This window comes from Homo sapiens, chromosome 1 (genome assembly GCF_000001405.40).
Source record: "Homo sapiens chromosome 1, GRCh38.p14 Primary Assembly".
In the NCBI taxonomy this organism is placed as follows: domain Eukaryota; kingdom Metazoa; phylum Chordata; class Mammalia; order Primates; family Hominidae; genus Homo; species Homo sapiens.
The window spans coordinates 217157843-217172207 of NC_000001.11; the positions used below are offsets into that span (position 1 = coordinate 217157843).

The 14365-nt window shown below is 37.3% G+C and overlaps 1 long non-coding RNA gene across 1 annotated transcript; it reads right to left on the bottom strand.

Annotated features, from left to right (window-relative positions):
• Nucleotides 1–5337: 5337 nt before the first annotated feature.
• On the bottom strand, nt 5338–9959 carry LOC107985461 (uncharacterized). Its single transcript, XR_001737821.1, has 3 exons — nt 9838–9959; nt 9054–9270; nt 5338–5583 (listed from the first exon to the last, which is right to left on the bottom strand). It is a non-coding gene; the product is annotated as an uncharacterized LOC107985461 (long non-coding RNA).
• Between the last annotated feature and the right edge of the window lie 4406 nt (nt 9960–14365).

Consider the following 14365-nt stretch of genomic DNA (forward strand, 5'->3'; position numbering starts at 1 on the left):
TTTTCTGCAAGGCAAAAGTTTTAAATTTTGCTTAAGTTCAATTTATCTTTCTTTTATTTTTTGACTTGTGTTTTTGATACCATCAATAAGAACTCTTTGCTGAATCCTAAGTTACCAAGACTTTTTCATATGTTTTCTTTTAGAAGTTTTTTTTTGGTTTTACATCTTACATTTAGACCTATGGTCCATTTTGAGTTAATTTCTGTATAAAGTATGAGATTTAGGTTTAGGCTTATTTTTTGCCCATAAATGTTCACTTGTTCTAATGCCATTTGTTGAAAATATTCTTTCTCCATAAAATTGATTAGCATCTTTGTCAATTGGCCCTATTTGTATGGGTCTATTTCTGGATTTTTAAATTTTCTTACATTGATCAACATATCTACCCCTTTGTCAATACTCCACTGTCTTGATTACTGGAGCTATATAGTAAGTCTAAAAATTGAGAGGTGCAATTCTTCCAACTTTATTCTTTTTTGAAATTCTTTTGGCTATTCTACTTCCTTTCCTTTACATATAATTTAGAACCATGTTGTCTATATCAACAAAGAATTATCCTTGTATTTTTGACAGGAATTATGTTGAACTTATACATCATTGGGGGGAATTAATATCTTTACTATATTGACTCTTCCAACCCATGAACATAGTATATATCTCCATTTATTTATTTACGTTTTCTTTTATTTATTTTATCAACTTTTTATAGTTTTCAGCTTATTGATCTCTTATGTGTTTCCTTAGATTTATATGTGAATACTTCATTTTTCAGTAGTATTGTAAATTTTACTATTTTCAATTTCAGTTTCCAGTTGTTCATTGCTACTATATAGAAATAAGATTAATTTTTTCATGTTAACTTTCTATGCTGCAACGTTGCTAGGCTCACTTATAAGTTCTAGATTTTTTTAAATAGATTTCTTGGTATTTTCAACATAGACAGTCATGTTGTCTGCAAGTAGTTTTATGTCTTCTTTTCCAATCTGTATGTCTTTTATTTCCTCTTCCTACTTTATCACACAGGTGAGGACTTTTGGTAGTCCCAGTCAAGTTTCAGTGTTCATATTTTTGGTCTAACATAGTGTATACTTTCTAATCTCATAAGTTTTAAAGCTGTTTCTTTTTCTTTTTTTTTTCAGACAGAGTTTCGCTCTTGCTGCCCAGGCTGGAAAGCAATGGCACGATCTTGGCTCACTGCAACCTCCACCTCCCGGGTTCAAGTGATTCTCCTGCCTCAGCCTCCCAAGTAGCTGGGATTACAGTCAGGTGCCATGCCCGGCTAATTTTGTATTTTTAGTAGAGATGAGGTTTCTGCCTGTTGGTCAGCCTGGTCTTGAACTCCCGACCTCAGGTGATCTGCCCACCTTGGCCTCCCAAGGTGCTGAGATTACAGGAATGAGCCAGCATGCCCAGCCTAAATCTGTTTCTTATAAGTATCATCATATGAGGTTTTATCTTTGCTCCTTACATAGTAGTGTTCACTTTTTTGTTTTCCACCAAAGGAGTCACCAAGGGAAACCAGATGAAACTGTGTTCATTCTTTATTAACTTTAAGCACTTTAAATGCCCCTACTTCCCATACATACTGAAGCATACTAAAATTCTTTAAATAAAGATAAACGATCCTAATAAATCAGCAAAGATTGTCAAGTTCCCATTAATTTGGCAACTTTCTAATGAAGAGTTTACTTTATCTTTTAAGAACACTAGGATATTATAGCTTTTCAAAAAATTATGAATGAGATACCTGTTATGTCACAGAATACAGCTGGACATGGTTAAATTAATTGAATCACCTTTCAAGTAAAGAATATGGGGGAAGCCACATTCAGATGACTGGTGCCCCAAGCATGCGGATGTCAGGAGCCTAGTTCAAATTAAGGCAACTAGAGTGAACTTCAGATATCAGATTTTAGTCTCTAATTTGCTGAAAAGCCCAAAGAAGCCAGTTCTTGAGACTGAAATAAAGGTGGGTTCCTGACACAAAGAATCAGGTACAGTGGCATAGTTGGAAGGTCAGTCTTGAGGAGTGCCAGCAGTAAGAGTGCCTCCAGTGATAATACTGGACTCCAACGTGTGGGGCTGAAATTCTTACTTAAGCTCAACAATGACATTCCAACAGTAAATAGGAATTAGAGGTGGGTTAGGGAGTAACCTCCATGTGGGGAGAGGAGGGATGAATAGGCAATAAACCACACAGATTTTGATAGTGTGAAACATACGTGGCAGGTTTTATTCATCTTTACCTTCCCACTTTCACCCACCCCCGACAATGCAGAGGGGTCTTTATTCTTATTTCCAAAATCAATTTTTAAATTAGAGATGTTTATATTTGAAATGTTTAATTCATTTCAACTATGTAGATTTATGGAATTCATTCTATTGATCAAATTGAGTAAATAACTTAAAAGTTCTGAAACTTCTACTTTGTTTCTAAATAGAAAATCTCTTTCATTTTAGCAAGTCTATAAATACCTTTTTTTTTTTTTTTTTTTTTTTTTTTTTTTTTTTTGAGACAGGGTCTCACTCTGTTGCCCAGGCTGGAGCACAGTGGCACAATCATAGCTGACTGCAACCTCCAACTCCTGGGCTTAAGCAATCCTCTTGCCTCAGCCTCCTCAGTAGCTGGGACCACAGGTGAGGGCCACCACACCTGGCTAATATTTGTTTCTTTAATTTTTTATAGAGGCAAGGTCTTGCCATGTTGTCCAGGCTGGCTTCAAACTCCTGGGCTCAAACAGTCATTCTGCCTCAGTCTGCCAAAGTACTGGGGTTACAGGTGTGAACCACTGTGCCTGGCCCCACCTTTTCTTGAAGAAGAAAATCATTTGACCACCTAGCAGTTATCTTAGAAACTTATAGGTGGTAAAGTTCAGGTATTTCATTTACCTAATTTCATTATTAGCAGCAGCCAAAGCATCGTTTTGGACAGATTCTTGGACAGAATCTCTGAAAAGAGCTCTCAGATCATGAAAAAACAATTTATTTCTGTCATATATCACTTCATATTAGGTCATGATTCACCCTCAATTATGTTCTCACTTGAGGTATAGGTCTAGACCTGCCAGGATAGAAAGCATTATGATAAAATGGGTTGAACAGTTAATCCCCACAAAGTCTGATCCATTCTAATGGTTCTATAATTCTGCTCAGGTTTCCTTTTACCTTATCACTCATCTAGTGTTATAGTATTGGAATATATGATCATTTACCTCAGAATAGCTCTCTATATGCTTCCAAAATGCCTACTGGGTAATTAAACACTTTTTTTTCCTCAAGAAAAAGATATTTGTAGAAATGCTAAAAATAGATCAAAATCTCTTTCTGAATTCAAGTCACTCATACAACTGCTTTGGCTCTCACAGCCTCCTAAAGGTCACCTGTGTGGTTATTTGCATTCCTTGTGCCATCAACAAATATAAATTAAGCCACCTGCAAGAAGAGGAACTTTAAATTTAGGCAATGGGCATAGACTGGGCCCAAAGGAACCATTTCCACTAAATGAGGCTATAAAAACTAAACATGACCTAAGCATTCTTCTGCCCTCCAAAACAAGGCTCAAGATGACAGTAAAGCCAAGAAAACATACTACCTAGAAGAAAGCAAAGGATGCGACAAATGCTCATCCCACCCTTTCTTGGTACAACAAAGCACAGATAAAATACAGCATTGGAAGAACCAATGGTCTGATGCAGTAGCTTTTCTTCTGTTTCTCAAATGGTATTACTATTAGAGATTTACACATACGCAAACACACACCATTCTCACAGTAAAATATCATCTCTAAGATGTATTAGCAGGAGGCACCACCTCAAAAGACACAAAATAAGAGCTCTCAGAGGGTCATTACTTAAATATAGAACAGCATGTATTTCTCATCAGTGCATAATCTTTGTGTGTAAATGTATACAGTGGAGCCTCTCCAGTATCTTACCCCAGTAAATTCATATGAAATAGCCTGCAGCGATCCTACTAGGTAAGTCTGTATAGCATGGGGCTGGAATCAGCTGGAAGGCAGCTTAATAACAGTGGGGAAAAAGTAAGGCTATACTAGACATTTGGCATTGTACTATGTATTTTCTGTCTTTTGGGGTATAGTGTGGGCTTTTTGTCATAATTGCTTTCCTTAGAAATTTTTGAAAAGCTTTTAGGTTTCTTTTATATTAATTAACCATGAAAAGGAAAGTGTCTTCTGTATCTCCCTGCCATTGAAAAGTTGCATCAGTTTGCTTATTCCAAGACCAAACTAAAATGTTCTACACCAACATTTCCCAAAGGAATGATATGAGAAAACAATTTTAATGTCCACTTATATTTAGAAATATTGCTTTAAACAAAGTTAAAAAGATTGCTTTTCTTTGGGGTTTTGCAGTGCCTGTAATAGGTTAAGGCACATTAAGAATCTCCTAAAGTAAGACATAGTAGTCAGGGTTTCCAAACTTGCTTGTCCACAGAATCCTTTCTTGTGGAGCATCTATTTGAAACATGTTTTTCATAAGACACTCGAATTAAACATTGCTTCAAACAGGTTTCAACAGAAATATCTTTAAAGCTAGAAGATCTTGTTCTTCCTTCTTGCTAGCTGGTCCCAGGTGATTGGTGGCAGGGGCCAATCCGAATGTAATTTTGCCCTATTGTTTTCTCTTCATTGAAAGGATCTGCTTGGTTTGGTTTTACAGAAGATGATACAAACATCCTCAACAAAACTGCACACTCAGCAGCAGAACACAATTTTGGAGGTACAAAGTAAGCAGCCAGCCTTTCCTTGGTTGATTATATATATAAAAAAGAAATAACAGTGACAATTGATTGCAATGTAAAATTTGAGTGTGGAAAAGTCCTGCAAATTTGAACTATGGTCTTCCTTTTCTGATTTGTGTGCTATCCGTATATTCATATACAAGGTTTTACTCTGCGTGTGTACATTTATGTGAATAAATCCTCTGTAGTAATGCCACTTAAGATATACTGATGATAAAACATATTCTGTACAGAAGAAATTCGAGTTCATTATACTAGACCAATATAAAATCTCATTATATACATATTTCCTCATATAGAAAGAGAAAATACAAATACCTATAAATATATATGTATATGTGCATATATAAATACACATGTATATATATATATAATATATAAGTATAACATATAAATATATATTTGATACATGAAATGTATAGGACATATGTACACACAAACACACATACAATGCAAGTATTGTGACATAAAAACAATTCTTTCTGTGTTCCCCTCCACCCAAATAATCAGATGGTCATTCCTTATAGTAATTCAATAAGGTTACAAATTCAGATCATTCTGTAGATAATTTTATTAACCTAAAATTTTACTTTAAGCCAGTTAGTTTTCCATGGAATAGATGTAACCTGTGTCAACATTCTTGGAGACAGCCTAATGAACATAGGTTGTCATAATGTGCTGTGTTGTAGGCAAATCCAAACAAGGTGGAAGAAGCAGAAGTCATTCTATCTTGTAGACAGGGGATTCAGCCAAGAGTCTGACTAATGTTTTTCCAACTCAGTTGATGAATTTTTTGGTATCTTCTAGCTTCAGTCTTAGTCCCTGTGTTTTGAGGAAGTACAAATAAGTATTTAAGAACACACAAATTGTACAAATCTAAGAAATGCCAATTAGTGGTGCCCACAAACTCCTGAATTGAAGGGAGACATTTCTAGGGGAAGGAGGCATAGTAGAAAAACTGACCCTGCCTTCCTTATCTCCTTCCTTCTGTCCTTTCCTTACACAAAGTACCTTTTAATTAGACTTTAGGAGAAAAGTGAGGATGAAGATTAGTGGAAAGTTGGATGGAGGGCATGTTTAGTCTGCCGAGTGAAAAACAAATGAATGCAAATGACAAGAAAGTAAGTTTGGCTAGAGTAGAGGGTAAGTCCAAGAAAACAACTATACTTTGGTAATTTGGGGATGGGACATTTTTGTCTTTCATTTGATGAATCATAGAAGCAACTTGAGGTTTCAGTATATAAGTACATACTATAGAGTTATCTATATTAGCTATCAATCTATATATATATACATTGTATATACATATAAAGATATGTTGCATCCATATGAATATAGATGTGTTATGGATACATAGATAAGTTTAGATAGATACATTATATATGTGTATTGCTCTATATATCTATATATCATATATAGATGTATTTTATATATAGGTATAAACAGACAGCTATAGATAGATGTACACAGTGCATATTTATATCTATATATAAAATTTACTAACAAAAGGATTCTAGGAAATTGACTAAATTACCATATAAGGGAGAAATAGAAACAAATTACATTTATAGAAATGAATCTTGTTACAGGAATTATTTTCCTATTTATATACAATGGTTTTGATTGAAATTTATAAATTAAAATTCTAATAATACCGCTTATGGGCTGAATTGTGCTTCCACAGAATTCATATATTGAAACCCTAACGCCTAGTGTGACTGTATTTGGAGATAGACCTTTAGTGGGATGATTAATACTGGCGCTCAATAAAAACTTTTTGAATTGAATCAATGACCTCTCAGGGTCCCTTTGTATCTTTCTATGAGATTGATCATCTTTGCGAAGTAAGTCAGCTTTTCCCTACTCTGCAAAATATCAATCCCACAACAGAGCACGACTTTAAGCTTCTCCCAGCCCATGGCTGGACAACGTACAAGTTTAGCTCATTCACTAATTTAGAAATTGCTTGTCTTAAAAGAGTAAAGAAAAATGCTGCTTCATCAGCACTTTCTTGTTCTACCTCCTCCTTTTAAGTTCTAATCTACATCAGAACATCCATATCATCTCCCTTCTATCTTCTAGCTAGAGCCACTTGCAGGAAAGAAACAGTCCTAATAGTAGTATCTGGAATCTCTACTTTCTCTCCACCTGGATCATTTACGCTTCAAGTCTGCCACCAAATCCCATGCAATGGCAAATAAGGAGGGAAATCTGCTTATCAAAGGGGGGGCCATAAACTGGGTTCTCATAGGATATTTGCTTTACATTATGTTTTTAACAACATTTAGCAGTTTTGTAAATCATCTTCCCCCAGAAATATACATTTCTGGTTCTTTGAAAATGTTGGAGCTAGGCACAGTGGCTCATGCCTGTAGTCCCAGCTACTCAAGAGGCTGTGGTGAGAGGATTGCTAGAAGCTAGGAGTTTGAGTCCAGCCTGGGCAACATAGCGAGATGCCATCTCTAAAAAAAACTGAAAAACATTGGCCTATTTACTTCCACTGTCCCATATCCGCCCACCCCAACAGCAGCCTACAGGTGTTGAGGGGTGACTGTTCTCCTTAGACTGGTCCTGCACTCTACAGCTAAGCCCAGGCCTGACTCATTTTAGGAATGCAAATATAGATACCGCCTGCTTCCCTTTCTCATGGACAAAATCCATCAGATCCCTGGAGGCACTGGGTCAATAATGGGCATTGGACTTGGGCGTTTTGTCACTGATAAATATGGGGGAGTAAATGCACAGAGGCAAGTTGGGAGTCATTTCTCCTGTGCTGTTGATTATGATGGACAGCTGTCCCATTCTCAGCACAGACATTAAGAAAAAAAAGGCTCAGAAACTTCCCTCCTACTTCATCCCTGGAGCCGACGCTCTAGGACCAGAAGGAAACCTCACTTTCTGAGGATACCTAGAAAGGAGAATACAAAAGCATAGACCTGCAAGAACTGTGCTGGCCTGACACCAGGCCCATGCTACTGACCAGTCCCACCTCTGACCATGCCCAGGCCAGGGATGTGTTGGGTCATTTTGTGAGCATGAGGAAGAGGTAGACATCCTCCAGACTGAGAAACACCAACTCTAGATCCCCCTGGCCTAGGATTTCTTCTTTTTTTGTTTTCTTTGCTAGAGAAAGCATCTAGAGGGGCCTAAGAAGCTATGAAAATCAGGCTGAATCTTAGAATGAGTTCCATTTACAAGCTTCAACAATAACTTCATGTGTAGGGAATAGGGAATTCAGTTAACCTCTCTGTTCCTTGGTATTTTAATTTGTCTGAAAGTGATAATCATCATATTTAGTGACCTCCCGGGTGCCCTGAGCATTAATGAGACAATGTGAGAAAATTATTAAGTTCTATGGTAATGTTAGTTCTAATTCTACTTTTTTTAAGCTTCTCATTTCTCTTTTAGGAAAAATTTGTTAAATAAAAATGCCTAGTACCACAAACAGTGTAGGAAAAAAACTAAAATCATTAGTGAAACAACTTTAGCAAAGAAAATAGCAAATTTACTCAGCCATAGAGGGGGACCTTTTTATACCCAAATCTAAAGTACCATCTCCTCTTTATCATTTCATCCCGGCCCTTTTGGGGAGCATAATTGTAACTTAATTTTGGAACTCTATGTCTATTACAAATCCTTCTCTTCTAAATGATTAAAGTTAACAAAATATCTGAAATGTCTATGGATTTTTATATAGTAAGTGCTAAAAGATATGCTTGAATGAATGAATGAAGGAATGAATGAAGGAATGAAAGAATTTTCATTTGTTTTGGTTTTAGAATAATAATAGAATAGAGGTAGAGGTAGAAAGGTCAGAAACAATGGAAGAGGATTAAGAATGTTGCCCTTAAGTGCTATGACACTCAAAATCAGTCCTCTCCTTTTGTCAACCAACAAGTCCTAATAAGTCCCCACCATGTTCAGCATTGGGAGAGTAAAAGACCTGTGAGACATTGCCTCTTGCTTGAAACAGTTTAAAACCTAGTTGGAGAATCACAGCAAACAAATATGCATAAACACATATGAAACAATGAGAAATGATGGAATATAAAACTCTGGATTGAGTATATGCTCAGCAGACATTTAGAAAAGGGAGAGGTCACTAGAGATTGATACAGTCAGAGAAGTCTTATGAAGGAGGTGGTACTGAAATTGATCTTTAAAACACTGTCTGGATATAGTTATAAAAGGAGATGAACTTGCTATATCCCCGTCTATTTCTCACATTAACCCTGTGAGGTTAATCTCTTTCCATAAATGAGGAAACAGCTCAGGCAGATTAAGTCACTTACCAAGGTCACACAATTGAGGACTATCTAACACAGGAGAGCTGTGTAGGTCTCTCCTCTACACAGCACATCTGTTCTGTAATGTCTGGATTGCTGCGTATCAGAATAATAGCCAAAGCTGGCCTTTTCTGGTCTGGTCCCTGCACCGTATTAGCCTCATCTCCCACCATCTCTCCATACGGCCTCAGCTTCAGCCACACCTTGTGTTTTAGAAAGATTCCTAGCGGGAAACACATGGCACACTTAAAAAGGTTTAACTGAAAATAATGAGGAATTATTCTTAGAAAAGTGGATATCTAGGGAAACCAACAAAGGCTGGCAAGGCACCTAGGGACTAGCAAGAACAAGAAGCCATTACTACCCCAGGACTGAAGAGGCAAGAGGAATAAATACTGATAACAAAGTCTGGAGTGCACTGACACAATGGAGTGGGGCCAGGCAACAGGAGCAATAGCTTTACACAGATACTGTCAAAATCAGTGAGAATAAGTACCCCAGCCTCTCCCCTGCCTGCCTTTGCATCTCCTACTGGTGTCTTCCATTGATCAAGTCTTTGGAAGACAGAGGTCAAGGGGATCTGAGAGATGCAGGCCAAAGAGGTCAGGTTCCTGGACACAGAGAAGGAAGGGCAGAGAACTGATCTTAGGGGCAAAAAGAGATACAAGTTCTCTCTGCCTTTGCTAACATAGCTGTCACCCAGAAGGCCCTCCATTGCCTGGGTACCTCTTCTTCCTCCTTTTAACTTAGCTTAAGGATCACCAACCCTGGGAAATCATTTGTTACCCACAGCTTAAGTTGGGAGCTGTCCTCTGTGCTTTTACAGCCTCTCTGCAGACCTTGATTATTGTGGTTATCATGCTGTTGGAATAGATCCCACGTGAGCCAGATGCATCAGGGGCTGAGGAAAATTGCTACCCTACTTCAACCTGATGAACACAAGGAAGCTGATCACATTGAGCACTCAATGCCAAGCACATATTTTCTAAATTTTAGATTTTGATTTAATTTTAAACTTAGAGAAAAGTTTTCCTTTTTCCTCAGATTCACCAGTTAACATTTGGCCCCATTTGTATTATAATTCTCTATCTATATAAACATTTCTACACACACATACATGTATGTAAATTTTTCTTTTTATTATTTGAAAGTTGGAACCATTGTATAGTTCTTTGCCCATAAATAATATTTCAGTGTGTATTCCCTAAAAACAATGACATTCTCTTACATACTTAGAATACGATACTCGAAATTATGAAAGCTAACATTGATACAGTAGTATTATCTAATCCATAGTCCATTTTTCAAATTTTGTTATATGTGCCAATAATGTCCTTAATAGCTATTCCTTCTCCCCTTCCCTGGTCCAAAATCCAATACAGGATCATGCATTGCAATTAGTTGTCACGTATCTTTAGTCTCCTTTCATCTGGAACACTTCCTCTGCCTTTCTGCATCTTGACCTTGACATTTTTGAAGAGGACAGGATGCTCATTTTGTAGACTGTCCTGCAATATGGTTTTGTCTGATGTTTCCATATGATTAGATTTAGCTTCTTCATTTTTGGCAGGAATACCAGAAATGATATTCTGTCCTTCTCAATGTCTTACATCAGCAGTCACATGATGCTGTCTGTCCAGATAGTCATGATGTTAACTCTGATGATTGGTTAAGGTGTGTCTGCCAGCTTTCTCTATTATAAAGTTACGATTTTAAATTTCTAAATAATTTGCGGAAGATATCTTGAGCCTATGTAAGTATGCTATTCCTCATCAAACTCCAGCCTCTTTTTTAAAAGGAAAAGAGGACAATTCATTGGGAATAGTGAGCAACAAAAGGAAATGGCATGAACATCCAGTCACTCCTAACTCCCTGTCCCTGGTACCGAGGCAGGTTGCTATGATTGTCCAGGGTTTTCTCTTTAAAATTAGGACTTGTCTCTGCTGGGTCCATACAAAGCTTCTTTTAGGGGAAAACTGAAGGAGTTAATTTGAGTCTCAGTAAAAATAACAAACCAACCCCAACAGCACTTTCTTGGTGTCAGGACTCAGTCCACTTGGAATTCTTCTCTCTCCTCCTATCATCAGAAGCAGGGATCCCTTCCTGCCTATTCCAACTTCACTAAATGTACATCAAAACCAGGCAGGCTTTCTACTGGTTTATTTACTTCTGAGGTCTGAGTGGTGGAAGGATAGCCTAATTATTATTGACCCAAGTCATTTTTCTTGCTTAGGAAACTATTTAATATTATTAGGAGCCAAAGTCTGGTAAAATTGGAAGCCAAAATAATCTTGTCCTCAGACCTTGAAGAGGTATACAATGTTAATGTCTCTGCCTTTTTAAAAAATGTAAGTATTTATAGAATTTTAAGCCGGTACTTGTTTCTTATTCCATATCTCCCATAATAAGATCATCACAATGAGAAATTGAAATCACCCGTAAAAGACTGCATTGTAGCTATGAGTTTTGTTGTGTGTCCCACACTAGACTGGGATCTCCCTGAGACCAGGACTGTGCACCATTTATTTACTTGTGCATCCCCCTTCTTCTGGCATATTGCACACCACATAACGAGTGATCAGGTTTAGTTTAATAAATAAATTGGGCCGAGGTGGGCGGATCACGACGTCAGGAGATCGAGACCATCTGGCTAACACAGTGAAACCCCATCTCTACTAAAAGTATAAAAAAAGTAGCTGGGCGTGGTGGCGGGTGCCTGTAGTCCCAGCTACTCGGGAGGCTGAGGCAGGAGAATGGCGTGAACCTGGGAGGCAGAGCTTGCAGTGAGCCGAGATTGCTCCACTGCACCCCAGCCTGGGCAACAAAGTGAGACTCCATCTCAAAAATAAATAAATAAATAAATACATAAATTAAATGGCCTCCAGCAGTTTAAGTTATTCTTCCCTGCACTCTATTTCTTTTATTAAAATATTTCAATCTAGAAGCAAAAAGAATTCATTTCAAATCTATACTTTTTAAATTCTTTTGACTGTAGAGAATTATAAAAGTTTCTTAAAAATATAAAAAGACATCTAAATAAATGTACAGATACCACTTTTGCAGACAAACTGTCTTTATATTTTTAAATAGTTTTTATTTTGAAATAGTTTAAGATTCACAAAAATTTGCCAGCATGGTACAGGGAGTTCCTGTGTACCCAGCACTTACATATAGAATACATTGTCCAAACCCAGAAATTGACTTTGCTGCAGTACAAACAATTATAAGAATACGGGCTGTACTTAAGTTTTTTGAGACGCTAATTTTTACAAACACTCTTTTTTTGTTTAGAATTCTAAAAACTTTTATCCCATCTATAGTTTTGTGCCACCATCGCCATAATCAGAATACAGAACTGTGTTCATCTCCTTCACGTTATCACTTTACAGTGACATTCCTCCGCCCACAAGACTAATTTCTGGCAACTTTTTTTTTTTTTTTTTTTTTTTTTTTGAGATGGTGTCTGGCTCTGTTGCCCAGGCTGGAGTGCAGTGGCGCTATCTCAGCTCACGGCAATCTCTGCCTACTGGGTTCAAGCGATTCTTCTGCCTCAGCCACCTGAGTAGCTGGGACTACAGACACACGCCACCACGCCTGGCTAATTTTTGTATTTTTAGTAGCGACGAGGTTTCATCATATTGGTCAGACTGGTCCTGAATTGGTGACGTCAGGTGATCCACCCACCTCGGCCTCCCAAAGTGCTGGGATTACACGAGTGAGCCACCGCGCCCGGCCAATTTATGTCAACTTTCTATCTATTCTCTATAATTTTGTCATTTTGACAATGTGACATGAATGGTATTATACAGCACGTATGTTTCGTGATCGACTTTTTCTCACTCAGCGCAATGCGCTTGAGGTTCCTCCAGGGCTTTGCCCTGAGCCTCCTTCTCTTCTCCTTTTTTTTCTTCTTAAGTATTCTAAGTAAGTTTTATTTTATTTTATTTTTGTATATATTTAAGATGTACAGCATGATGTTTTGACATACATATACATATGAAATGATTACTACGGTCAAGCAAATTAACATATCTATCATCTTACATAGTTACTGTTTTAGCCTGTGTGGTGAAAATACCTAAAATCTACTCTCTTAGCAAATTTCCGGTATGCTATACAATATTATTAATTATAGTCTTAATATTGTACATTAGACCCCTAGAATTTATTCATTCTACATAACTGTAACTATGTACCATTTGACCTTCATCTCCCCATCTTCTACTTCCTGTTTCTATGTATTCCAGTTTTGTTTTTTTAGATTCTGATGCAAAAAGATCATGCAATGTTTTTCTTTCTGAGTCTGGTTTATTCCCTCTTACATAATGTCCTCTAGGTTTATCCATGTTTTTAGACTGAATATTATTCCATTGTGTGTACATAGCACAATTTCTTTACCTATTCATCTGCCAATGGACAGACACTAAGGTTTTTTCCATACTTTGGCTACTGTGAGTAATGCTGCAATGAACATGGGGCACAGATACCTTTTTTTTTTTCTTTTTTTTTTTTTTTGAGACGGAGTCTTGCTCCGTCTCCCAGGCTGGAATGAAATGGCGCAATCTCGGCTCGCTGCAACCTCCACCTCCCGGGTTTGAGCAGTTCTCCTGCCTCAGCCTCCTGAGTAGCTGGGATTGCACGCTCCTGCCACCGTGCCTGGCTAATTTTTGTATTTTTTAGTAGAGATGGGGTTTCACCATGTTGGCCAGGCTGGTCTCGAACTCCTGACTTCAGGTGATCCACCCGCCTGGGCCTTCCAAAGTGCTGGGATTCTAGGCGTAAGCCACCACGCGTGGCCGGGCACAGATATCTTTAGAAGGCTGTGATTTCATTTCTTTTGGGTATATAACCAGAAGTGGAATTGCTGTGTCATATGGGAGTTCTATTTTTTGTTTCTTTAGGAGACACCGTATTGTTTTCTACAATAGCTGCACTACTTCACTTCTTTATCTCTATAATTCCTCTATTATAATTTCTTCTGGTCTTGTAGTTAAAAATATAAACTCTATGATAATGACTTCTAAATCTTTATTTCCAGGTTCCTAGAAATTCAGTCTTGGATATTCAGATATCTACTTTACAACTTTGTGAATGCTTAATACATTTCCCAAAATTAACCTGGCCGAAACAATTTCTTCTTAAAACTAAAAAGAATAGGAGAAAGCACCAATCTTTTTCATTTCAACACCCACTATTTGCCAAGATAGATATTGAGGCACTCTCCTTGATTTTTCTGTTTCTTTTACTTTTCTCATTAAATTATTTAATAATTCTCTTGATTGCACCTACAATCATATCCTGAGTTTGAATGTATTTAT